Genomic DNA, 27,872 nt, shown 5'->3' on the forward strand with positions numbered 1-27,872 from the left:
CCACTGATGGGCCACCACTGTTGCAGGATTTAAGTGTTACCTCGGAAATACCAAAAAGATAGTTCTATTACAATGTTGTATCCTATAAATACTCGAGTTATGCCTGTAATTGCCTTGAAATACATTGCCTGCTGTGCTTGCTTATGTCCAAGAGCAGGTTAGAAGGTCAGACTCAGACCTTTTGTAGCCTTGATAACTGGCTGTTACATGATTATGAAGTGAGTGGGAGAAGAAGCAATAGTTAATATTTGTGTTTCATTCACCAAAGAAATCCTTCTGGAACTCTTCATGGGATAATGATGAAATTCATTCGATTCATATTTGCATTTAAAGTATTAAGGTTTTTTCAAAAATAAAATATATAGCAAGGGCAGAAATTTTTGCTCGCAAATAGACCTTTCTAGTAATTTCAGTGTCAGATGTTGTATAGACTCTGTGCCTCAGACATTTAATGGCCTTTTCCCTGGACTCTTGCTCTTGGAATAGATTAGATTTAGAATCTGAAAATAGCAATGCCAATGCCAGGCTGGGTGGGGAGTACTGTGTGGTTCTGCCAAAGTACATGATGAGCTGTTCCCTAAGTAACTGGGTCATTTCTGAAATTCACGAGGGAAGAGGCACACTTGTGTTCTGTTTGCATGGAACAACAGTGACATCCAGTGCTAATACCGTTGATGTGAGCCTGAAATAATAACATCACATCGGCTGGTGTGGTGGCTTATGCCTGTAATCCCAGCACTTTGGGAGGCCAATTTGGGTAGATCACCTGAGGTCTGGAGTTCAAGACCAGCCTGGTCAACATGGTGAAATCCCGTCTCTACTAAAAAAATACAAAAATTAGCCAGGTGTGGTGGCAGGTGCCTGTAATCCCAGCTACTTGGGAAGCTGAGGCAGGAGAATCACTTGAACCTAGGAGGCAGAAGTTGCAGTGAGCCGAGATCACGCCATTGCACTCCATCCTGGGCAACAAGAGCAAAACTTTGTTGCAAAGAAAAAATATAATAATAATAATAATAATAATAATAATAATAATAATACCATCACATCATTTCTTGGTAAATGAACAAATACAATGACAAGGGAAATGTGGTTAAGGTTAGTGTCTTCACTAATAGCTGCTAATAACAGAGACAAATGCTATTTAAGGTTAGGGAGAGCATTTACCTAGCACATCCTAGCAGAAAGCAGTGTAGACTTCGTTTCATTTCCAGCCTCACTTCTGGGAAATACTGGCAGGGCACTTGGACCCTCAGCACCCTCTCAGTTTATCTCTTGGTACTCTCTCTTTAGTTTTGCTCCTGTAAGATAGTGGCAGGGCCCTTGAACTTTCAACACTCTCGGTTTATCTCTCAGTACTCTCTTAAGTTTATCTGTAAAATGGAAATAATGATGCCAGTTCACCATTTGACCACAGATGCTTCAAGCTCAGCATAAAGTCATTTGGAGTTGTCTTTTCTCCAGAGGGAAGATAAATATTCAGAGACATCATGAAAGCATGGACATATAGAGGAGCATTTGGACATACAGAGAAGTCCAAATTGCTTGTAATGTTATTGGGACTATTTAAGATTTTATTGCAGATTGTCTTCTTTCTGGAGAGAGTCATTTCTTTGTTCTCTATCATGATTGAGAAGGCCACCTGTGGTCTATCTAGTTCTTCACACAGTGTAGGTGCTTCTTACATTGCCTTGTGTTGGGGAAGACCCACCTTCTGAGCTATAATATAAATTGTTTGTCTATTTGCCTATTTGTTTGACTTTGGCAATAAATATCTCCTCAATAAACGATCCTCTAATCCATCTAGCATTTATTGAATAACTATTACAAGCAAGCATAGTGCTAGGCCCTGCTCATATATTATCTTTAATTTTTACATTATTCAACTAAGGTGGATTCTGCCTTCATTTTATAGGTAAGAAAAGTGCAACTTAGAGGCTCTCAATAATTTGCTCACACTTACAAAACTGGTAAGTGGGAATTGCAGGTTTGCCCTCAGACTTTCTAACACCACTGTGACCTTTGTTCAAAATGGAGTGCAGAATCCTGAGCCACTTGGGTAACATTTCAAGGACCCTTAGAGACTAATAGGTGGGCCTCTCTGTTGGTAAGAACTCTAGTTCACTGAGATTTTTCATTAATACTTTTGCATGTATGTAGCACACGAACTACATGTTTCCAACTGAATTTTAATCTCCTTTACACAACAACTGTAGTTTTATCTTTGTTACCAGGCTGAATATAATTTTGAATACTGTGTTGAGATCCTCCCTTTACATTTGTTTGAGATGGAAAGATGAACCAAACATGGGCCTGTACACAAGTTTTGATCGCTTTTTTTTTCCATTCAAATGCTTTAGGAAGACTGGTGGAATTACGTTTTTTAAGAAAGTGAAGTCATGTGGTAACTTTTATTTGGGTTCTATTCAATTTTGGGTTTTGTAGAAGACAGGGACCAAGTCTTTTGGGTCTTTGATGACCCGTAATACCTAGTTCAATAATTTAGACATCCTAGAGGATCAATAAAAGTTGAATTTGATGACATATTAGGTTTTATTCCGTGAACTTTAGCTAGTAGAGAAAGCACTTTCATTTCCCAGAGGCAGAGAGAAAAGTCTTGATTTATACAGTGCTTCCAGTTCCCATTTTCTCAGATGAATTAGGCTTTGAGCTCTGAAGAATTAACTAGTGTCTGTTTTCCCAGGAAGAGAAACCCAGTAGGAAAACACCTACACTTCAGTCTTAGGGAGGGATCCTGGAAGGACTCAAAGCACCCAATGGAGAAAGAAGGACCTTTGATGGGATCCGAGGCAGAACTGAATATATTTGTGAATATACAGTTTCAGCATAGCAAAAAATGACTTCATGGACCAGAATCTATCTTTTTCTTTCTCAGTAGTATGTGAGACAAAACACAGAAGATACAATTTGAGGCAAGAAAACCATCTTTATTTCTGCTAAACTATGTGAACTCTGAGGACAGGGAGTGTGGCTGTCTTGTTGACGACTGAGTCCAGTAACACAGATCTTAATACCAAGACTAGCATGCAATACTTAGTAAAATTGTTATAGTAGTTAATACGTGAATGAATAAATGAGAGGATAAGTGTTTTGTAGAGAATTGCTTGGAAATACTGGACAGGTCCAGGGTGGAGTTCAGAACAGGAAACATCCAGATAACTGTTCCCAAACACTGCCCAATGAGTAGCCACCAGTCACATGTGGCTATTGACATTTAATTAAATAAAATGAGAAATTTTGTTTCTCAGTCTCGCTAGCCAGATGTATTAGTGACTACCATAAAGTACAGTGCAAATATAGAACATTTCCATCAATACCGAAAGTTCTACTGGATAATGTTACTCTAGGGTACAAGGTTGAAAGAACAAAAGCCAAGCATATCTTAAAAGGTTTTTTTGGTTGTTGTTGTTTGTTTGTTTTTTATAGTATCCATCCCAGCTCACAAGTAAAAATATATTCGGGTTCCTAGGGTTTTAAGGAACTTCTGGAATAAATAATATGCTTTTGGCTGAAGAGCATCATGTATTGTATTTCATGACAGTAATACCTAAAACAAAACCTGTGTTGGGGGAAAAGCTGTAGGGTAGAAAGAAATCTTCAATACCTTCCCTGTTCAGTCCAGTTTCTAGTTATTGGCATAGATTCTAGGGATTCTTAATTATTCCTTTTGGGACTCTGAGGATTGAGAACAAATTTTTACATTAAAAAATAAAAAATAAACTTTTCTTTCATAACAAAAGTTGAAATTTAGAAAATAAAAAATAAATAAAAGTGTAAAAATTAAAATAGCCAATTATCTCCTGAAATAATCATGTTCTAGAATGTATTTATTCTGCCTTTTTTCTATGGACTTTTATTTATAGACATAATACATCATGAACCATTTACCATGTTATTGTTCTTGTACATTCTTAGCAACATGTTTTCCATAATGGTATTTTATTACATTAGGTAGATGTATTACAAATTACTTAACCATATCTTGTTATTAAACATTTAATTAATTGTTTTTCGTCTCATGACAATCTATACATCAAATGTTCTTGCACACAAAGTTTGCATACTTCCTTAAAATTATTTTGAAAGCTGGGAATTCTGGATCAAATTGCAAGCAAAATTTCAAGCCTTTCTCACACGCATTGCCAAATTTGCCCTCTACATTCATGCTTAAGCATGAGTTTGTCCATTGGATTTTTACTAGATGCGTGCTCTGCTAACAAAACCATACGTATAGGATTTGTACTTGACTGTTACTCTTGGGGTTCAACTTGTGGGAAGTGACAAAAGTTAATTTCAGTGGTTAAATGTTAAAATCTTAGATAATGAATAAATAATTATACCTTAGGTATCTTATCTATCATGTTGAAGACTCAAGTCATGCATCTTTAATCAACATCTGCATGAAATTATAGAAATTTTTCCAAAAGTTTAGAGGAAAAAATGGTAACATGGTTATATTTTTGGATTGTTATTGTTACTGTTTGTTTTAACATATAGACAGAATCAAAATGTGATTATTGGTAGAGATGGGGCATTCAAAATGGAAAACATTTATCATTTAATGTTGATGTATTGGGGGTCAGTAAGTGAAAGGGCCTTTTGCAAATAGAAGTTTCTTGGTATCAACAATTGAAAAACTCTTTTCCACCATTACCCTTTTTCTCCAGAATAATATATTAGTTAGCATCTTTGAGTGTCTGCTGACTTTCTTTGATACTTTTCAATCCCGTGGGCAAAATGCCATGCAGATTAGACACAGGGAGAAAATACAATGTTGCCATCTCTTATTTTCAAAGCTCTTTTCAAATAATTTACATCTCCAGTTAATTTTCTAGGTTTACTTTAATGTTTTACTACTAAGATGACATCGTTTTATTATTCTCATAGTGGACTTATTCAAGCCTTGTTTCTTGGGTCCCTTGTGGGCCCTTAACTCTAGTTTAAGTATTTTCCTCAAAGACAATAATTAATAGAATGATTCAGTGTTCCCTTTATGCTAAGTCCCTAATCTAGCGATATTTTCACTCTGGCCATTTTTTTCTGGCACACACTTTAAACAGGCATGGAAGAGAAATTCTTTGGTAAATTAAGTGGGTAAATGCAAAGATTCTGAAGCATTTATCTAGTTTCAAATTTTGACTCTGTACTTACTAATTGCATGACTTCGGGTATATTACTTAACTTCTCTGGCTTCACAGTCCTTATCTGTAAAACTGAATATGTGTCTGGCATATTTCACTTAGCATAACGTCATCCAAGGCCATCCATATTGTGGCAAATGACAAGATCTCTTTCTTTTTAAAGTCTGAATAATATTCCATTGTGTGTGTGTGTGTACATAATTACCTTGTAGGATTTCTAAGATTGTATAAATTAATATTTATAAAGTGCTAACAGTAGTGCTTGCCCCTTTGTATTTTAAAGTATTTGTTAGATAAATAAGGGTCTCTCTTCTTTTTTACTTATTCTGAAATAAATTTTATTTCATGTATTGTGTATATTTAAGGTATAGAACATAATGTTGTAAAATACAAATTTATATTAAAATAGTTATCATAGCGGAACAAATTAACACATCCATCATCTCACATAGTTACCCATTTTTCACCTTGTGGCAAGAACAGCTGTAATCTACTCACTTAACAAAAATACTGAATACAAAACACTATTATTAACTATAGTTTCATGTTGTACATTAGATCTTTGGACAGCCTACATATTTGCTACTTTGCATCCTTTAACTTACATCTCCCCATTCCCCACCAACACTACCCTGGCAAACAATGTTTTTATTCTCTTTCTATCTCTATCTATATGACTTTTTTTTAAATAAAAGATTTTGCATATAAGTGAGATTATGCAATAGTTTTCTTTCTGTGTCTGGCAAATTTCGCTTAGCATAATGTCTTCCAGGTCCATCCATGTTGTGGCAAATGACAAGATCTCTTTCTTTTTAAAGTCTGAATAATATTCCATTGTGTGTGTGTGTGTCCATTAGTGGACAAATAGCATGAATAAAGAAGTTATCTACACAAACACACACACACACACACACACACACACACCCCCCTTAGTTTCCTTATCCATTTGTCCACTGATGGACATCTAGGTTGTTTCTAAGTTGTTTCCATATCTTGGCTACTGTGAATAAGGCTGCAATGAACATGGAAGTGCAGATATCTTTACAAGGAAGTGATTTCATTTCCTTTGGATATATACCCAGAAAAGAAATGCGATTATTCTACTCTTTTTTTTTTTTTTTTTTGAGACAGAACAGCCTCACTGTGTCACCCAGGCTGAAATGCAATGGTGCTGTCTCAGCTCACTGCAATCTTTGCCTCCTGGGTTCAAGCAATTCTCCTGCCTCAGCCTCCTGAGTAGCTGAGATTACAGGAATGTGCCATGATGCCTAGGTAATTTTTGTATTTGTAATAGAGATGGGGTTTCACCATGTTGGCCAGGCTAGTCTCGAACTCCTGACCTCAGGTGATTTGCCCGCCTCGGCCACCCAAAGTGCTGGGATTAGAGGTATGAGCCACTGCACCCGGCATGATTGTCTACTTTTAGCTTCTTTGGGAAACTCTGTTTATTTTATTTATTTATTTATTTGAGATGGAGTTTTGCTCTGTCACCCAGGCTTGAGTGCAATGGTGCGATCTTGGCTCACTGCAACCTCTATCTCTCAGGTTCAAGCGATTCTCCTGCCTCAGCCTCCTCAGTAGTGTGCCAACACGCCTAGCTAATTTTTGTATTTTTAGTAGAGATGGAGTTTTGCTGTGTTAGTCAGGCTGGTCTCGAACTCCTGACCTCAGGTGATCCACCCACTTCAGCCTCCCAAAGTGCTGGGATTACAGGCGTGAGCCACCATGCCCGGCTTGGGAATCTCTATACCGTTTTTCACCACAGCTGCACCAATCTACATTTTCACCAATAATGTACAAGAGTTGCCTTTTCTCCACACCCTCACCAACACTTGTTATCTCTTGCCATTTTGATAATAACTATCCTAACAGGTATAAGGGGGTATCTCATAGTGGCTTTGATTTGCATTTCCCTGATGATTCATAATATTGGCCAAATATTCATGTACTTGTTGGCCAGTTTTATGTCACTTTTGGAGAAATGTTTACTCAAGTCCTTTGCTCATTTTTAAACTTGATTATTTGCTTTGTTGCTATTTAGATGTATGAGTTCTTTAAAAATCTTTGATATTAACCCCTTATCTGATATATGGTTTTGCAAATATTGCTTTCTAATCTATAGGCTACCTTTTCATTTTGTTAATTGTTTTCTTTGCTGTGCAGAAGATTTTTAGTTTGATGGAGTCTCATTTATTTTTGCTTTTATAGCCTGAACTTTTGGTGTGATGTGCAAGCAATCATTGCCAAGGCCAATGTAAAGGAGATTTTCCCCTATATCTTCTTGTAGAAGTTTTGTGATTTCAGGTCTTACATTTAGGTCTTTTATTTGTTTTGAGTTGATTTTTGAATATGGTTTGATAAGGGTCCAATTTCATTCTTTTGCATGTAGAAATTCAGTTTTCCCAGTGCCACTTGTTGAAGAAATGATCCTTTTCCCTTGGTGTATTTTTGATGCCCTTGTCAAAAATTAGCTGGCTATATGTTTGAATTTCTGGACTCCTTTTTGTTCCACTGGTCTATGTAACTGTCTTTATGCCAGTTCCATATTGTTTTGATGACTACAGCTTTGTAAAATGATTTTAAGTCAGAAAGCATGATGCCTCCAACTTTGTTTGTTTTCCTCAGAATTGCTTTGACTATTCAGGACCTTTTGTGATTCTATGCACATTTACGATTTTTTTTTCTATTTCTGTGAATAACGCCATTGGGCTTTGATAGGGATTACATTGAATTTATATATGGTTTTAGGTAGTATGGATATTTAAATGGGAAATCTCTCCTTAAGTCTTTATTTTCATCTGTCAATGTTTTCAGAGCATTTTTGTGTCTTTTCTGCCTACCATTCAGATTGTTATTGCTTTTGTTTCTTTGCAATATATTTCGAATGACTTTTTGAAATCTATAACTTCTACTCTCTTATCTTTGATCAAACATTTAGTATTCTCTTACCAAAACTATCATTGAGACTGAATAATAAAATAAATCATAATGTTAATAATTGGTAACACTATTTGAACACTTAATTATGAACCAGAAATAACACTAAGAACTTTGCTTAAAATCTTTTTTAACTCACGCCTGTAATCCCAACACTTTGGGAGGCCGAGGTGGGAGGATCACGAGGTCAGGAGATCGAGACCATCCTGGCTAACATGGTGAAACCCCGTCTCTACTAAAAATACAAAAAATTAGCCGGGTGCGGTGGCGGGCGCCTGTAGTCCCAGCTACTTGGGAGGCTGAGGCAGGAGAATGGCGTGAACCTTGGAGCTGGAGCCTGCAGTGAGCCGAGATCAGGCCACTGAACTCCAGCCTGGACGACAGAGCGAGAATCCGTCTCAAAAAAAAAAAAAAAAAAAAAACAAAACAAAAAACAAACAAAAAAAAACCTTCTTTAATCCGCACAAAAACCCTATAAAATAAACATGGTGATTATCCCGACATTAAATAAGAGACTTAAGAGATTAAGCCACTTTTCCAAAGTCATACAAGTAGTGGCAGAGCCAGGCTAAGAACTGGATTTTTTGAGTATTTGCTGTCAGCTTCCCCTATTTTATTTGGTTCAATGCCTAGGCAGATGAAAAACTTTAGTTTACCTCTATAGTAGTCATCTCCAGTAAGATGTAGCTTCCCTTTGATGATGATAGCAATATTAACAAAGCAACAATAAAACCATCCACTCTTGACTGACGTATTATTATCAGGTACTGGATTTCATGTAAGCCTGTCAGTGTTTTTATTTGCTGTTTATTTCATTTCTATTTTATGGGTAAAGTAGTTAGATTAAGTTATGACCCCTAGATTGTACATCTAGTAAGTGAACAGAGGCAGAATTTGTTACACAGATCCTGTCTGTTTTCAAGTTTTTATGCCAAGCTGTCTCACCTGGGTTCCTCTGTTCCACACAGATTGAAAAAATAAATAGTCCTAATGAATATACATTAATGTATCTGTGCTTATTCAGCCAGATTAGGAGGAATCTAGAGGCAGATCTTCTCAAATTGAAACACTGTTTCAGTAGATCACAAGTTTTGCTAATGAGGGATATGCTGTTGTGCTTTTTCTATTGAAGAGTGCAAAAATCAAGGAAACAAAGCATCCAACTGCAGGGGGCCAATCTTTGCCGTTACAGTAAGGGGGAAGGGTGAAAGACTATAGATCTAGTTTATTGTTGTCTTTGAAGTATTAATATTCATCCTTTACTACTGAAAATGCTTGTGAAGCTCTGTCACTCTAATTTAAAGATGCTTTTGAAGAGGGCTCCACACTGTCTGCTCTAAAATGGGACCTTGCTATTCCTATTTGTAAACTGTCAGCATGAGGCAGGAACTATCCATCAGTAAGATTTACTTTTACAGAAATATAAAGTGATTGGAATACCCCAAGCATCTATAAGTCTAACTTCTTTCATTGTTCTCATTTTCTTTTCCCTGTGCTTTATGAAAACAGCATAGCATTCTCTGGGGGGTGTCCATTCATTGTTTGGTTGATTTTCAATTCTTAGATGATTTATTCAAATGCCGTATTTGCAGAATCAATTCAGGAATATAGGTTCTAACAGAATCAAACAGCATTATAAAAAATTGTTCTCCCCCACCTTTAAACATTTCTATAATATTCTGAATGAATGCCTTCTAGTTACTACTCCCATTTCAATGCATTAGAGAGCCAGAAGATGAACTCCATGTTATCTTAAACAAGGATTCACATCTTGCTAATTATTTGGTATCTCCATTTCACATGTGGTCTCTCAGTATTTCCAAATGTGGGATAAATTTTTTGGTCACTTATGATGCAGTCTCCCAAAAGCACTCATTTGCAGACTGTGCCAGCAGAGTGGCAAGGAAACACTGAGCAATGAGTTTTAGAAATGAAGAAAACTGAGAGGCTCAATATTGGTAATTATAGGTCACCACTGAAACTTGGATCCACAAAGGCTTATCTTGACTCACTTCAAACATCTCTTAGACTCAAAGTGTGTTGCTTATGAGAACCATATATTTCAGGAAGTACAGCAGCCTTTGAATTGGCTCCGTGTGATCTCCTCACAACCTTTCTAAATCAGACAGCCAAGTGCAAAGCTAATCCAACTGAAACATTTCTCATGTACAGAGAGGAAGAAACTGGGGAGCACAGAAGGTGGGCGTGTATCATTCTTTCGGCATAAGAACAACCTACTAACAGCCCCCTGGCAAGTAACCAGCTTTTAATGAAACTGTGGCCTGCCATGAGGTTTCCATAATAAAGGATGCACAATCACCTCTTGTTCATGAGGTCTTGACAAATTTGCTATCATCCTCCATGTTATTTTCTGCAATTATATCATGCAGATTCTTCTTGCAGGTCAACTGTCAAACTTGTCTAATATTGTTGGTTTCCCAGTTTGTTTACCAGTCTCAGTTCTCAGTTAAAATAATCCTGTCTTTTATCTAATGCAATACATAGCAAATGTAGATATTTGTTAAAGGAAATGAATGAGCACATAAATATAAATGAATAGGAACAATACTGTTTACTTCATCATTATAACACTTACTTATATAGCTAAGCATTAAAAGTCACTTAATAAGTTGATGAATTATTCTTTAGGAAGAAGTTAAAGTACTTAATTTGAGAGAAAAATAGTCAAATTTTTCAAACACGGAAATTCTCCTGTCAAATTTTCAAACAAAAACTGGGAAATGTCTTAGAAATCTTTTGAAGCTCTTGTTGTAATAGATGGGAGCAGAGAAAAGGCATGGTATTTCACAGTCAAGAAAAAAAAGATTTATGTATTCTGAACTTTGCAAAATAATCTACATTTAATTCATTTACTATGTTTTTTTCTGAATGACCTTTATACATTATTTGTGGTAGGATTCGAAGTGGGAAGAAATATAAAATGAGATAAGATTCAACTCCTTTCTTTAAGAAGCTTAAGATTTAGTGTATCTAGGGGTATAAAAATATAACCTCTAGGAATACATTGATAAATGTTATAAGTTATAAGATTGATTAAATCTGAGCAAATTATAAAATCTTCACAAAGGGAGAGCACGACATAGTGGTTAAGAACTTGGACTCTGTAAATAGTTTTCCTAGGTTTGAATCTAGCTTTCTCTTTCCTAGCTTAGTGTCCTTGGGCAAGCTAAAGATCTGTTCCTTAATTTCCTTATCTGTAAAGGTGGGTTTTGATAATAATAACAACTACCTCAGAGGACTGTAGTAAGAATTAGGAGAGTTGGTGTATGCGGAGTGTTTAAAATGATGTCTGGAGTACAGTAAGGAAGATTGGTGACTCTTTCTGATCAGAGTAAATAGATGTTTACCTGGAGCAGAGGAAGGGGAAGGGCAGTGAAGAGGCTCTGAACCTTTTGCAGGGTTCAGAAATTTAAAACACAGAAGGTTTGAAGAGTTACAGAAAATCAAGGGAGTTGGAATACATGCTTCAGGTCTTCGGCCTGAGGCTCTGGTGGACTGAGACTCTGGCTGTAATGGAAAGGCAGAAAACTCATAGATCGAGCCTTAACCTATGAGTCCACCACTGTAAAAGTTTTACTCACACAGGGCACTTGCTAACTTTCCAAAAAATAAATGAGTCTACTTGCCTGAGTAATCAGTGATTCCTGACTTTCCCAGAAGAGATTATTTTCTTTGGTGTTTGGGGAGATGAGGAAAAGTGATAACGTAGGGAATTGTTCACAAAACTAACTTTTTTCTATTTAAAAGATTACAATTTACTCTGAAGTTAGGATCCTTCAATTTTTGTTGTTGTAATCTCATTTCTTTTATGAATTTATGGTGATAAAAATAATAATTAAAATTGTCTCAAAATAAGATGTTGCTGTCCTTATGATGCCTCCTGCTCTTTAAAATGTTTATGACTTGGCAAATTACAAAAGTCTGGGCATTTCTATTCTGGAGAACCAAATAGTCCTAAACTTTTTATGATATTTCTTGGAGGAAAGCCTAATAGAGCATTCTAAGGCAAACTACTAGGCTTTTAAAAAATATGTGCTTGCTTCTAGAAGAAGCCTAATTAAACTGATCCATTTTAAGTAACATTTCTTTTTCTTTTTTTGAGACAGAGTTTCGCTCTTGTTGCCCAGGCTGGAGTGCAGTGGTGCCATCTCGGCTCACTGCAACCTCGGCTTCCCGGGTTCAAGTGTTTTTCCTGCCTCAGGCTCCCAAGTAGCTGGGATTACAGGCGTCTACCACCACACCCAGCTAATTTTTTGTATTGTTAGTAGAGACGGGGTTTCACCATGTTGGTCAGGCTGGTCTCAAACTCCTGACATTAGGTGACCCACCCACCTTGACCTCCCAAAGTGCTTGGATGACAGGCATGAGCTTGGCCTCCCGAAGTGCTTGGATGACAGCTTAAGTAACATTCTTAGAGTTCACTGTATACAGCCAACACACAGAGAAAGGACACAATCTCTTTTTCTTCTAAATATGATCTACATGTCCTTATTTTTACACCTTGGTTTCAAGTACTCACTGCATTAGAAATACCATCCTCTATCATTGCCTGCTGAAGCCCCATGTCCTATAATGTGTAATTCAAATGCCTTGTTTTCAAGAAAAAGTCCTTAATTGTTTTCTCCTCCATCTTCCAAAACCTTGAGATGTTTAACATACTATAACAAACATAATGTAATATTTGGTGCTTTTTAAGGAGATAAGGACAAGCATGATACTCTTAGGAAGCAGTCAGTAGTAGTAGTCATTTCCCGTGGTTGCCATAACAAAGCACCAAAAACCAGGAGAAGCAACACAACCAAAACTTATTGTGTCACATGTCTTAGGCTAGAACTGTGAAATTAAGATGTCAGCAAGGCTATGCTTCCTCTGGAGGCACTAGGAAAGGAACTACTTCATGCCTTTCTCCTACATTCTGGTAACCTTACCAAAAAGTTAAGTTATAGATGCACTATTCTAATGATAATGTCACCAGATCATGTCTTCATATCATCTTCCCTTTGTGTATGTCTCCCTGTGTCCAAATTTCTCCTTTTTATAAGGATACTAGTTATGTTAGATTAGAGCACACCCTCATGACCTCATTTTAACTTGATTACCCCTTTAAAGACCGGATTTCCAAATAAGGTCACATCCTAAGGTACTGGGAGTTAGGATTTCAACATATCTTTTTTGAACGAAAAAATTCCATCCATAATAGTAGTCTAGAATGATTAGTTTATGAGGATCCTGAGATTTTGAGAAATGAGGTTGGGGTAGTAAACTAGGAGCAGATCACAAAGGCACTTTTTCTGAAGCTAGGAGTTTAGACTTGATCTAATTTGAAAGGACTGGAAGATATTTAGGAGAGGAATGATATGATCATATTTAGGTTTTAGAAAATTTATCTGTTGATTCACATCTTTTATTGCTAGCTGAAGATTCAAAGCTCCAGAGGAATTGAAGGCTTAATTGCTATTTCCTAGCTACTCAGAATAAGTAGGTAGAAGAATCTACCCCTTTGGCAGTTGAAGGGAACTACCTTTCATCAAGGTTGCATTTGTGGGAGATTTCTGCAAAAGAAAGAGTGAGCTGCATTTGGAAAGAGAGGTTGGATGCTAAACAAAAGCAAGCAAACAAACAAAGCAAAACAAAAAATAAAACAGTAATGACATTCTTTAACAGAAACTGGTTAAAATAGAGTTTCATACTAATTCTAATGAAATCCAAGCAACCAACTTTACAAGACTGTTAGTATAACAGGATATGCAGGCTCCAGTTATTTACTGCTGCTAACAAAATATCTGCAAATCTTAGCAGTTAAAGACAACCACCATTGTATTATATCTCACAATTTTGAGTTAGGAATTTGGACAGGGCTCAGCTGGGTGATTCTTCTGCTCTATATGGTATCAGCTAAGGTTATCAGTGATATCTAGTTGGTGATTAGGTTGATCTGGAGCATCCCAGATGGCTTCATCATTTCTGTTCACTTGGGAGGGATGACTGAAAAGCTAAAATGAACTGGGACTGTTAACTAGGGCACGTATCAATGGCTTCTGTAGCAAGGTAGCCTCAGAGTAGTTAATTTCTTACATGGAAGCTCATGGATGTCAGGGAGAGAGTTTCAAGAGGCCTGAGGAAGTTGCAAGCCTTCCTGTTATCTGTACTCAGAAGCCCAGGATGTAACATGCTATTTGGTCAAGCAAGTTACTAAGGCTAGTAACTTGAATTGCTATTCTTTGCTATTCCTCCCACCAAGAGATGGAATCTAATTCCCCTCCCCTGAATTCGAGGGATCTTTAATCTACCACAGCATGGAAGTTAATGTTGAATCAAGTTATTAAATTTCCTCCATATATTTTCAGAGATGCTTTAAATTTCTAACTTTATTTACCCCTATGCCCAAGCAAGTAAACATTTAAAGGCTAATCAAGTGCTTAGCTATAGCTAAGTGTCATACACTGATGATGGCTAAATAAAGCTAAACCTGTGTACTGGTAGACATTACTCACAGCTCAAAACTTTGTGAATTTTGAATTGATAGAACTTAGTTGAGCCACTTGATTAATGTCTCTGAAACATCTTGTATTACTGTATATCCCAATATAATATAAACAAGTAATACAATATGAGAATAATCAAAAGAATGGTATTCACTTAGATATATCATTAAAATAATATATATGCATAGGCAGATGTCAGTCAGTGTTTCAACTCATTTCTATTTAGACATACATAATAGTTTTAAAAAAAGACTTTGGAAGTGTGCCAAAATGAATTGGCACAAAATAATGAGTGGGTAAAAAAATTAGACCACTGGGAATATTTAAAAATCCAACTTTTGGGTACTCTGCTATTTTCTTAGTTTTGCATAGTTCCATAAAACACAAATAGCAGTTTTACTGTTGCTTTTCTGTTGTTTTACAAGCTTAATGTTGGCTGCCAGGGCTATGATGCAGTCAGCATTTTTAGACTGGCATGCATGAAAACATTAGATCCGAGAAGAGAGGCTCAGCATCATTGATATCCTGTAGTGTTTTGTTTCGGGAAATGCCATGCTGGTGATTATAAAGGATGAAGTCATATATTTCTACCAACCACATCCTACCATTATGGTAATTCTAATTGTAGTAAGCTGTGGAATCAATGACAGATAATTAAAAAAAAAAAGAAACAAAATAAAACTTAAAATGTTTGTGAACCTTTTGTTTAATCAAATAACTTTACAAAAAAAAGGTACATTATGGTTCTGGAAGAACAAAAAAATGAGGAATGTATTAGTTTTTATTTGAGGATTTCTGAATGTACACAAAGCTATTATCAGTATTATTATCAACATCATTGTATGAAGTTTTTGTCTTAATGGACTCACGGTTGAAGTTAAGCATACCAGCCTATGACAAATCATGCTGCCTTTCTCTAATTATAGTACCATTAACTAATTCTCTACCAACATATATTCTTCTGCTATAGACAGCCTATTATTTTCTGCTTTTTTCTTACCACTAAAACCACAAAATTAGAATTGGAAGGTAACGTTGGTACTTCTCTGGGACTCATTCCCACTAGTGGAGTCAATATTTGCTGAAAGCTGGGTTCAGTAAGGGAATAGATACTTGCCTTGCCATGATGTGATTTTGCATATTGGTCTGTTTCACAATATCAAGCTCATTAATGGAGACAAATCTTTCCCTTCCTTTCTTCTTGATCTCAAGATTTAAAAAGTGTTAGATTTGGCCAGGCGTGGTGGCTCATGCCTGTAATCCAGCACTTTGGGGGGCCGAGGTGGGCAGGTCACGAGATCAGGAGTTTGAGACCAGCCTGGCCAACATGGTGAAACCCCTTCTCTACTAAAAGTATATAAAAAAATTAGCCGGGTGTGGTGGTGTGCACCTGTAATCCTAGCTACTCTGGAGGCTGAGGCAGGAGAATCGTGTGAACCTGGGAAGTGGAGGTTTCAGTGAGCCAAGATCGCACCATTGCACTCTAGCCTGGGCCACAGTGCAAGACTCTGTCTCAAAAATAAATAAATAAATAAATAAATAAATAAATAAATAAAAGTATTAGATTGATTCCTTCAGTACTTTATTACTGGTTGCTCAGTATTGCACTGTTATGGAGGTTCAAAAGACAAACGAAAAATGTCTGTGACTCAAGGGGTTTATAGTAAAGTCAAAAAGAAAGATATATATATATATATATATATATATATATATATATATATATATACACACAAATATTTTAAATGGTGATTTTATTCTTTGAATGTGTCCAAGTGAGACTTTAAAAGACTGTTTTTCTTATGTTTTGGGAATAATTATTTGACCTATCCTTTCAAAGGTTTACTATCTTGTTGTAGAATAAGTTAAAACTTTGGTTTATCATGTTGGGGTTTCCATAAATTCTCAATTTCAGGTCACTGAATTTAGCCACAGATTCATAGTGGAATTTAGCCACAATTGCAGCAGAATATTCTTTTTTACTTCAAAATTACATTTAATTTCTATCAAGGATTCACCTAGTTGCAATGAGGTTATAGTACATCTCTAATAAGGAGGTATATCTTATACCCTTTAAATTTTAACCCCTATATTGAGCTGAAACTAAACACACAAACTGTTACAAATTAGGGGAGCCTATATGATTAGAGGCTTGAGTGGTTAGATTGCAGTGTATCTGAACACCTGCTATCCAGAGATGCTCAACAATGTAGTGAAGACTGTTAGTGCCACAATGGAGACAATCTATTTTCAGCTCTTACCCCTACCTACAAAGGAGAACAAATGCAACCTTCTCCTTTGCCATAGGACAGACCCCAGATCATGGCAGAGATTACAGTCACACACAAAAAAAGCTAGGATTTAGAAAGAGAGCTATAGGCAGAGCAAGCAAAAGGAAACCTTTTCCTTCATAATATAGCTGTCAGCATTTTGATCAACATATTATAAAGAATCAAAACCTTACATAATCATTTGCTAAATGTACCTGAAGTGAATTTTGAGAAATTTTACACAGAGGCAGAAAAATTGATATGGTTTGGCTCTGTGTCCCCACCCAAATCTCACCTCGAATTGTAATCCCCATGTGTCAAGCGAGTGACATGGAGGGAGGTGATAGGATCATGTGGGTTGTCTTCCCCATGGTGTTCTCACGATAGTGAGTGAGTTCTCACTAGATCTGATGCTTTAAAAGTATTTGGCAATTCCTCCCTACCTCTCTCTCTCTCCTGCCACTTTGTGAAGAAGGTGCTTATTTTCCCTTTGCCTTCCACTATGATTATAAGTTTTCTGAGGCCTCCCCAGCCATGTGGAACTGTGAGTCAGCCGAACCCCTTTCCTTTATAAATTTCCCAGTCTCAGGGAAGTTCTTTATAGCAGTGTGAAAACAAACTAATACAATAATCTACACATGGTATCAAAGGCCTTGATACAAAAATATTACAAACTAAGCACAGACTCCTTAGTCATATTTTCCACGATGTCTTTAATTTGGAGAAAACAAAAGTTGTCTCCAAACTCTAGGGTAAATACACACACATCTACGTTTTATTCAATAGAATGCAGGGGATAAAAGGATTGCCCTTTCCAGAGGTCTTGCCTTTGCTCCCAGGGTCACATGTTGGAAGGGTCTTGGAGAGGTTATGGAGTATACTGTGAAGTATAACAATGAAGTCACAAATATGGTGGACATACTTTGATTTATATAATGAGATTCCTTCCAAGAAAAGCAGTCACACATCAAGAAGAGTGAATTCACAAGATTCTTCTCTCTAATAGATATGTTTTGTGGAAATCAGAACAGTGAAACTAAGGCAGCAGATGCAGAGGCAGAAGTGGGAAATTATAATGAAGAAAATCACAGGACTTTACAGAAAGTATGAGGAAGGCTTTGGCTTTAAGGGAAGGAGATCCAGACAAACATCCATCCATCTCTCATCCCAGAGTTCTCGTTCCATCATTCTCAACAAATCCTTAAGGGTCTATATAGTAGCTGAATTAAGGAACCTCTACACAGATTAGGTGGGTTCAATCAACTTGAATAAAGATTCTAGTGCCTAGAGTAAGTCGATGAGCTAAGTAATGGACTTTCCAGTTTTCTCTTTTAAAACAATCTGATTCTGCTCCATTTTACACTATCATTTTAAATTTCAGGACACCTACATGCCTATACAAGCAAAAGCCATAGTTATAGAGGAAATTTAGCATGCATGTAAAACCCAAGGGTATTGCATCTTTCAATATTTTGGTTGTATTTCCTGGTTAAACACTTTCCTGCTTTCTTTTTACCTTAACCCCATCATATAGGATATTTCTATCTGGTCTTTTTCTATTTTCCTGTGCAGGGGAGCGTAGCAAAAATAGCAAGACAGTGCATGGGTAGATTAAAGAATTATTTTAATAAACATCTATTCATAGCTACCACTAGCATTAATGGAAGACACTAAGTGATATAATTTGAATATTTATCCCCTCCAGATCTCATGATGAAATTTGATCCCCAGTGTGGGAGGTGAGACCTGATGGGAGGTGTTTGGATCACGGGGACAGATCCCTCATGAAGAGCTTCGTACCATTCTCCTGGGATTTAATGAATTCTAACAGTTCCTGTGAAATCTTGTTGTTAAAAAGATTCTACCACCTATCACTGTGACATGCCTGCTCCCTCTTTGCCTTCTGCCATGATTGGAAGCTTTCTAAGGCCCTTACCAGAAGCATATGCTGGTGCAATGCTTTGAGTACAGTCTGCAAAACTGTGAGCCAAAACAAAAACAAAAACAAAAACAAAAACAAAACCCTGTTTTGTTTATAAACTGCCTCAAATCTTCCTTTATAGAAGTAAAAATAGGCTAAGCCATTTAGAGTTTTGAAAATGGGGGCTTCCATAGGGCACTAGAGAAATTCTGTTGGACATCAGGAAGATTAAACAATATGAACCTTCAACTGTGTTGAGTTTTCAAGATCTGATGTTGCCTATAATACAAGGAAGGTACTAATACTTGTTCAGGCACTGGTCTGTGTTGGATTATATGGGGCACTCTCTAATTATTTTCTATAGAGAGGATTCATTAGGAATTCATATAGTGTGATTTAACATAAAGATTAAAATGTAATATTTTTATATCAACAAATCTGCGAACTATGTTCCTCTCCTTCTGTCAGAGTCAGAGCAATTGCTCCTTCCCTCAAGGTAAGTAAGATCAATAGTGAATATTTGGCACTGCAAAACATGCCTCTCTGAACATACATACAAATTCTTGAGGCCGGGCATGGTGGCTCACGCCTGTAATCCCAGCACTTTGTGAGGCCGAGGCGGGCCGATTACCTGAGGTCAGGAATTTGAGACCAGCCTGGCCAATGTGGTGAAACCCCATCTTTACTAAAAATACAAAAATTAGCCAGGCGTGGTGGCATACGCCTGTAATCCCAGCTACTCAGGAAGCTAAATCAGGGTAATCACTTGAAGCTGGGAGGCGGAGGTTGCAATGAGCCGAGAAGGCGCCCCTGCACCCCAGCCTGGGCGACAGTGAGACTCCGTCTCAAAAAAAGAAAAAAATAAATTATTGAAAATATAAAACATGGAAGTATTTTTTCCATTACTGAAAGTAGTATTGTTTGTAAAAACTGTAAGTTATATGGAAGCATTTTCAGTATTTTTGTTTTGTTTCATAGGAAGTTTTATTTGGGGATATTTCATATGTAAAAGCTATTGAACCAGGCAGTTACCAGATAGTTACTTAAAATCAACAAAACTCTGCTATTTTATGAAAAGTCCAATAACCTACAACTTCACCTTGCTCTGAACTGGTAAAAATGCCTCTGTGACTGACAAATGGATGAATCAGATGACGAGCATATTGAAGCAGGCATAATTGAACCTCTAAACACATAATTGAACCTCTAAACACATGGGCCCCCACAGCTCTTTTTGCCTGGTAACAAAATGAGGCTGTTATTGATGTAGTACATTACAACAACAAAATGTGAGTTACTTGTGGTTAGCAACCAATAGTAAAATAATTAGATGCTATAATTTACAGTGATATTTTTGAGTGGACAAAAACTTGACAATGACCAGATAATTTGAACTAGGTTATATTAAATGCAAGAATAGGAAGTTTTGGAAGAATGTAACTGGCTTTTTGATGTTTACCTACCTCCAGAGACACTTCTGTATGTCCTGAATTTTGGCTTGGAAATATTGGTAAGAAATTGAGCCTGTGCATAGAACCATGTCTGGAATTACGTTGCAGAGGGTGGCATCCACATAGAATACAATGTAAGTAGTCCTTGTGATAGTGAGTGCGTTCCAATGTGAATCTGACACAACTGAAAGTATTCTAGAATGCTTTCTTGTCTTAATAGACAAAGTTTGAAATTTTCTTTCAATTTTGAGTGAAAGGATTGGAAATTTGAATCATACTCAGATCAATTAAAGATCTTATCAGTATTGAGCTTTCCTAAGAATTTCATGGAAATGTGTAATTGTGAGTCATATAAAAAGCAAGGAAAAGTCTGGGACACCCTGTGTGGTTACTTGGTCTTCCCTCTCAGATCAGCACATATTCCTTGGCCCAGAATAATATAGGAAGTCTCTAAGTATACACGGGTTGCTTATATATTGGAGAGCATTTAGATTATAAAACATTTCTATTATACATGCAAGAAAGCTGTGCAGATTACATGGTTTTCTCTTGGGAGCCATGTCTCACACCATAAGCAATCCTAAACCAGGGACATACTGTTAAGAGCATCCGATATATAAGAATACTCCTTCTAGCATATATCCTCAGGCTATTTTCCCAGAGATCCAATTATCATGTTCCAAGAAGATAAAACTGGTCACCCAACTTCTTTCTTATGTCAGGGATATTATCATGGTAATCAGGAAGGGACTAGGTCACAGACCCACTGCATTAGTTCTTTTCTCCCCAATTTAAACTGAGAAAGCACTTGCTTTACAATATTTTATCTCAGTATGTTTCATTCATAGTTATGGTTACCTAAGATTATAAATGACAATATGTATTGAGTGCTGATATGGTTTGGCTCTGTGTCCCCACCCAAAACTCGTTTCATATTGTAATCCCCATGTGTCAGGGGAGGGACCCAGTGGCTGGTGATTGGATCATGGGGGCAGTTTGCCCCATGCTGTTCTCGTGATAGTGAGCGAGTTCTCATGGGATGTGGTGGTTTAAAAGTGTGTGGCAGTTGCCTCCTTGTTCTGTCTCTCTCCTGCTTCACCATGGTAAGATGTGCTTACTTCTTCTTCACCTTCTGCCATGATTGTAAGTTTCCTGAGTCCTACCAGTCTTGCTTCCTGTTAAGCCTGTGGAACTGTGAGTCAATTAAACCTGTTTTCTTTCTTTTTTTTTTTTTTTCATAAATTACCCAGTCTCAGGTGGTTCTTTATTGCAGTGTGAGAATGGACTAACTTATTATAGTTATATAGTGCTTACTAATGCTGGGCATTGTTCCAAGAGCTTTTCCTGTATTGACTCCTTAGATCATCAAACAACCTATGAGGTAAATATTATTTGTATATATTGCAGATAGGGAAATTGAAGAAGCACAGAGAAGTTGCATAATATACTTGAGACCATATAACTGGTAAATTTTAGAACCTGAATCCAAACTCAGGTAGTTTGGACCTAGAGCCTGAGCTGTTACCTGCCAGGTTATGCCACCTAACTACATCAAGAAGTAATCAAGGAGAAGCAACACAAAGGGTGGAATAATTCAGACTCTGGACCTGTGCCTGTCTTCTCAGCAAGCTCCTCATGGTAAACATAATGTAGTGCATATCCCCATTCAACCCAAGTCACTTTGCAGGAAATCTTAAAAGCAAAAATTTTAATTATATTTTTCTCATTAGTCACCTAAACATTACAGTATTAATTGGAAAGTACATTTAAGTTAGATAAGAATGTGAAAATTCTTACTATAACAATATGTTAAAGGTCCTTTAAAAGTGTTTTCTAATGTGTCCAACACCAATTTGTCTTTCATTTCTGAGTTACTATTGGCCTAGATCTAATTGATCTTATCCTAATTATTCTGACGGCAACATGGCCAGAAGTAAAGACAATCAAAGAAAGGAAAAGATGGATATCACTTTTTATACACTTAAATATGTTATTTTAATAGCTCAAATAATATAACCTGCATGAGATAAATATAGTGAATTCATTAGATAATGTTTTATATTTGGGGGAGGTTTTAAAATGCCGTCTGATATGGTTTGGCTTTGTGTTCTTACCCAAATCTCATGTTGAATTGTATTTCCCAATGGTGGGGGAGGGACCTGGTGGGAGGTGACTGGATCAGCAAGATTTCTCCTTTGCTGTTCTTGTGATAGTGAGAGGGTTCTCATGAGATCTGGTTGTTTAAAAGTGTGTAGCACATCCCCCTTCACTCTCTCTCCTGCTCCAACATGTCGCTTCCCCATTGCTTTCCTCCATGATTGTAAATTTCCTTGAGTCTCCCCAGTTGTGCTTCCTGTACAGCCTACAGAACTGTGAGTCAACTAAACCTCTTTTCTTTATGAATTACCCAGACTCAGGCAGTTCTTTACAGCAGTGTGAGAACAGACTAATATAACCATCCATTCATGTAACAAATATTTATTGAGTTTCTGTTATGTGCTAGGCATTATTTAGGTGCTGATGTCATGGAGAACAAAACAGACAAGATACCTGCTGTAATGGAGTTTTTATGTGGGTAGAAATGAGATAGGTAATATAGATGACAATACACAATTTAATGAAAAAATAAATGGAAGATATATGGTATTGAGCGTTATGAAAATAGCTAAGCTAGGATATTGTGATAGTGAATTACTGGTAGCTACCTTAGAATAGGTGGTTAGGAGAGACCTCTCTGAAGTGGTGACAAGAAGCTAATATCAGAGTGACCAGGAGGATCCAACCAAACAGAGAAGCACACAACCTAGAGCTTTCTGAGCAATAGGTAGTTTTGAGGACTGGAAGAGTTGGCTTGTCATGTTCTAGGAACAGAAAAAAAAGCTGAACCTGCTGGATGGTAGGAGGCAAAGAAGAGAAGAGAGTGATAAGCTCAGAAAGGCAGGTGGATCTAGTTCACGTTGGGCTTTATTAGCCTAGGAAAATTTGGATTTCTTTCCAGTGTGATGGGAAACCATACTGCAGTAGGAGCTGCATTTTAAAATGATGCCCATTTTGAAAGATCACTCAAGCTACTATGCGGAGAATGGATCATTGAAGGTGTTAGTCGAAGATGGGTTTGGCTGCATGTAATAGAAAAACCAGTGCAATAACTTAAATAAGATAGAATTTTTTATTATTCTTTTTATTTTTCTCACATGACACAACATCCAGAGGTAGGCAGTCTGAACTGCCATAGCTATGTTTGCGATTTCTTTGGTGTTTTTCCTCATGTTCAATATTAGTCCTGGGTAACAGACAGAAAAAGGGTGCCCAAAGGACAGAAGCCTTCTCTGCCAGCTAAACCATGTCCTTTTAAAGCAGTTTATTCAGAAATCTCACCTAAAAATGTTTGCTTACCATGTATGGATCAATACTGTGTATGTGGCCAACACTATAGCAAGAAAGACTATTTCTGGGTGTTGACCTAGACTCATTGCTGCCTTCATAAAAATTATGGTCAGGTATTCATCTTTCTAAGCTTGTTGTATTTCCTGTAAAATAATAACAATAATAATGATAAATGGTGACTTCATTATGGTGAAATCAAAGTTTAAAATGAGATGATGCGATCAGAACATTTAGCACAGTGACTGACTTATGGTAAGTACTCAATAAATACTATCTATTAGAATGTAAGCTTCACGAAAGTAGGAATCAAGTCTGCCTCATGCAAGCATTCAGTAAATATTTGTTGAATGCTGAACCAATAAATGCATGAGGTAAATTCTCATGAAGTTTACAGGGTAGGACTGTGGTTGTACCACAGTCAGTAGAGTGTATACATTTGCGTTAAAAATACATGAGGAAAAAAAACACCAACAGAGTGCTTTACAAACATATAATTAACAGATCCTAGATTAAGCTCACATTGCATTCTCTGGATTTTTGGAAGAAAACTCATTGCTGGTAATGTTGTCCCTGGAGTATTGCCAACATTCAAAAATATCAATTTGTTTCAAATGATGTTCTGTGAAGGCAGGATAATGCAGAAGAAGACAGAATTTAACTCTTAAAATTCAAGAGCTTTGAGTTAGTTTAAAAACAAAAAACAAAACCTCTGTACTATTTTAATTTTTTTTCACTTTGGGGGAATAATTTACAACCATCTGAAAAATAACACCCAATTCTAGTCTTTTTTACATTGTGAATTACATTCCAAAGAGGTGAATGTTTTTTCTAAAGAAATTTATCAATAGCTATTTAGTTATCAAGCTATTTTTATGAGGTCTTAATTTTTGTTTCTATTTTGTGGAAGGCTGATGACCATTTGCTAGCTTTTCTTTGTCTAAGGCTAAATTTTAAGCCCTATTATATTATAGTCTCACTTTTTAAAAAGTTTCATGCCATTACAAATTCATCTCACAGAAACAAATGTGATAGTCACTAAGCAATTTTGAAGATTTAACTTTCTAAAGCCTGGTTAATATGTATACATTTCTGAAGCTAAGGAGCAAATATCTAAGCATTTCTATCTTTTCAGTAGAGCAATAAAGTAAGTCGAGGAATTTATGAGGAAACTCTTGAAGATCATGCACATGAATTTAGATACCATTTGTTGACCATAAGGAACCACTGAAAGGCTTTTGAGGAGGGATATAATGTGTTCAAATTTTCAGGCTAGAAATATAATTCTGCCTTCAGGAGGTAAGATAATGGATTGAGGTAGTCGTGATAAGAGAAACAGAAGTAACCAAGTAGAATATTGAACTGGTCAAGAATCATGCAGTTTTGTCTCAGGGTACCAGCAGTGTAGATGCTTGTGAGTGAATCAGTTTAACTTTTGTTTTAATGGTAGAATCAACAGTACTGAAAAGAAATTGGACATGTAGAAGTAGGAAAGAGGAAGAGACAAAGAAGGGTTTTGGCTATCTGCAGAAAGCAATTAGATGGCATCACTAACCTGAGTAATGAAGACAGGAGTAAGTTTGGGGAGAAGAATAATGAGTAAGTTTTAGGCATATGAAGGATCCAGTGATGTCCAGTAAGAAGCTGAATACACAGTATTCTAAAATTCAGAAGAGTGTTTTGAGCTGAAGATATAAAAGCTATGGGAACAGATTATTAGAGTAAGTTGAAAAGAATATAGAAAACCAATTTAGTGAAGCATGACTAAGAGCTGCAAGTTTGCGGGGAAAAGGGATTGTCTGGCAGAGGTGGCAGAAGGACTGACCTGTGCACATCCATAGGCACATGGAATAGCAGGATGAATGTGGGAAACTAGAGGGAGTTTGATACCAAAGCGTGGCACGTGAGACTAAAGAGGCAGGCCACGTCCAGATTTTATAAAGGGAAATCTGGTATGACAGTTATTCTAAAGAGCTTGGGCTTTATCTTGCAATTAATGGGAAACCATTGAAAGGTTTTTAATGGGGAGTGACTCGATACCATCAGACTGCTGACAATCATGATGGATGGAATATGGGGAGTCTGGCAGGAAAGAGGGAAACTAATTAGAAGTTCTTGCAATCACTTGGTGAGAGATAATGAGGCGTTTACTAAGATAGCAACAGTGGGAAAGGATGTGAGGACAAAGAGTGAAGATATATTTAGAATTGGTTGGCTATAAGGGCAGAAGGAAAGTGAGGGGTCAAGGATGATGCCTAGTGTTCTCATTTGGGTGAGTAGATGAATAAATCTTAACATCAACAACTGTGAAAGATAATGAAGGAGGGAAAAAGGACTGAGAAGGTATGGTCAAATAATTAGGAAGAAATATAGAAAGAAAGTAGTGTGGCGTGTACTTCAAGAGTGTATCACGAGCGTAGAGAGTTTCAGGAAGTGGACAGTAGTGCTAAATGCTTTTAGCAGCCAGGTCAGTTAAGAACCAAAAATTCTCTTCTGATTTAACGACCAAGAGGACAGTTTCTGGGTGAAAGTGGTTTCAGTGGGGTGGTACAGACAGAAACCAGACTGCTGTGGGAGGAAGACGAAGGGAGGAAGTGGCGATAGTCTAGACACCTTCAAAAAGCATAGAAAGTAATACAAAATAGAGACAGAGAACAAAATGAGACTGTAGAATAAATCCAGTTTTCTTCTTGACTGGTGTGATAGGATATATACATATGTATCTGTGTGTCTATATCTACCATATAATATCAATGGCCATATATATGTTATAAACACATATATCACCTATTACCCCTCATCCAAAAATATATATTCTAATTTATTTTTCTATAGATGAAATTCAATCATTTAATATACAATGTGAACAATTTTCAATTATAAGAAATGAAATATAAAATAATATTAAATACTATCATTGAATATCTTAGTGAACAATTGAAATAATAAAAAGGAATATAAAAATAATATTAAATACTGAGCAATAATTTTATTACTCTTATACTTTGTAGAATATTTCAATTAAATATTATTTTGCCAATTTAAAACAAAGAATGAAGTTCTGCTTATGAAGAGGAAGTCCTCTCCCACTGCTTACATTTTCCATATGTTATTTATTTTTTAGCAATAGGATAATTATTTCCAGATTCCTCTTTAACCTCTGAAGGCCTCTGGAATGTTTACTTTACATAGGCTTTTGTCTTATTGTTGTGGTGCTAAGTATTTCTTTAAAGTGGGATTTTGGATACCTAGGATTAGCATTCATGAATCAGCAGAGCCCTCTAATCAAGTAAAACCAATCTCCAGCAACTTAATAAAACAAAAATGTGTTCCCCTTGTTTAAAAACAGAGTATCAGCTGTGCTAGAATGAATGTTATTTTTCATTTATCTTCTGAAACTATCTCTCAGATGCTTTACTTATTAATTAATTCATTAAACAACACTTACTTTGTGTCTGTCTACTATGTACCAGGCACTGTTTAGATGCTAGGGGCTACAGCAACACAAAATTAGTAAAAGTCCCTTTTCTTTGCAGCCTTCAGGAGCCTTAATCACAAATTAGATCCCTAGCTCTGCAAAGATGCCCTCCATATACCACTCAAACTCAGATGCCTCACACCATGCTGCCCTCTCTCACCCTTTCCAGGTTCTGACATGCTAAACTGGGTCATGACTCCATTTTCCATATGGATACTGTCAAAGGAAAAAAGTAGTTTAAGTGAATCGAATTGAGATTAAAGTATTTATCCAGCTCGTGCACATCAGGAATGACTTGAAAATCAGGTAACTTCCCTAACTGAAGCAGGATTGGAGTTCTATGGGGTGAGGAGAGGAGAGGTATATGTGTACTTTTGGTCTGGCCCAGATTGAAGTTACATTCATCTTTAACTGTTGTAAAACTTTCAGTTTAAAGGTCTGAGATTGTTCTGGTTTTCATGCCTCTTGTTCTGGATCATTGTTTCATTTCCCTCCTGGCAACTGTCAGAACAGTTCTTTCAAGAGCTGTTTTTACAATATTTGCAGTTTTTTAAGGTTCGCAGGCGGGGGTGGAGGGAAAGAAAAAAAAGATGGAGGGTGGAGGGAAAGAGGAGAAAAACAGCAAATAAGGAAGGCAAGGTTTGAAACAAGAGAAACTGAGGTCTGTTTAAATCCTTTTACTATACACTCTTCACCCCGTCAGCTCTAACTCCTCATGCAGGGGAGCTTCAATGTACATGTTCTCTTTCTCCTGATTGTGTTTCAACAA

General features: G+C 36.7%; 1 long non-coding RNA gene across 1 annotated transcript in view, besides 1 other annotated feature; it reads right to left on the reverse strand.

Annotated features, from left to right (window-relative positions):
• LOC105378305 (uncharacterized) overlaps positions 1-27,872 on the reverse strand; it is a 198,425-nt gene that overhangs the window by 96,144 nt on the left and 74,409 nt on the right. The window lies entirely within an intron of this gene.
• Positions 8,985-9,542: an enhancer, noted in NCBI's record as "OCT4-NANOG hESC enhancer chr10:54421868-54422425 (GRCh37/hg19 assembly coordinates)". NCBI's record gives its function as "activates a minimal SCP1, AML or CMV promoter by ChIP-STARR-seq in naive H9 embryonic stem cells {active_cell/tissue: H9 hESC(naive)}" and the evidence as "EXISTENCE:reporter gene assay evidence [ECO:0000049][PMID:30033119]".

Source organism: Homo sapiens, chromosome 10 (assembly GCF_000001405.40).
Source record: "Homo sapiens chromosome 10, GRCh38.p14 Primary Assembly".
Lineage (NCBI taxonomy): Eukaryota > Metazoa > Chordata > Mammalia > Primates > Hominidae > Homo > Homo sapiens.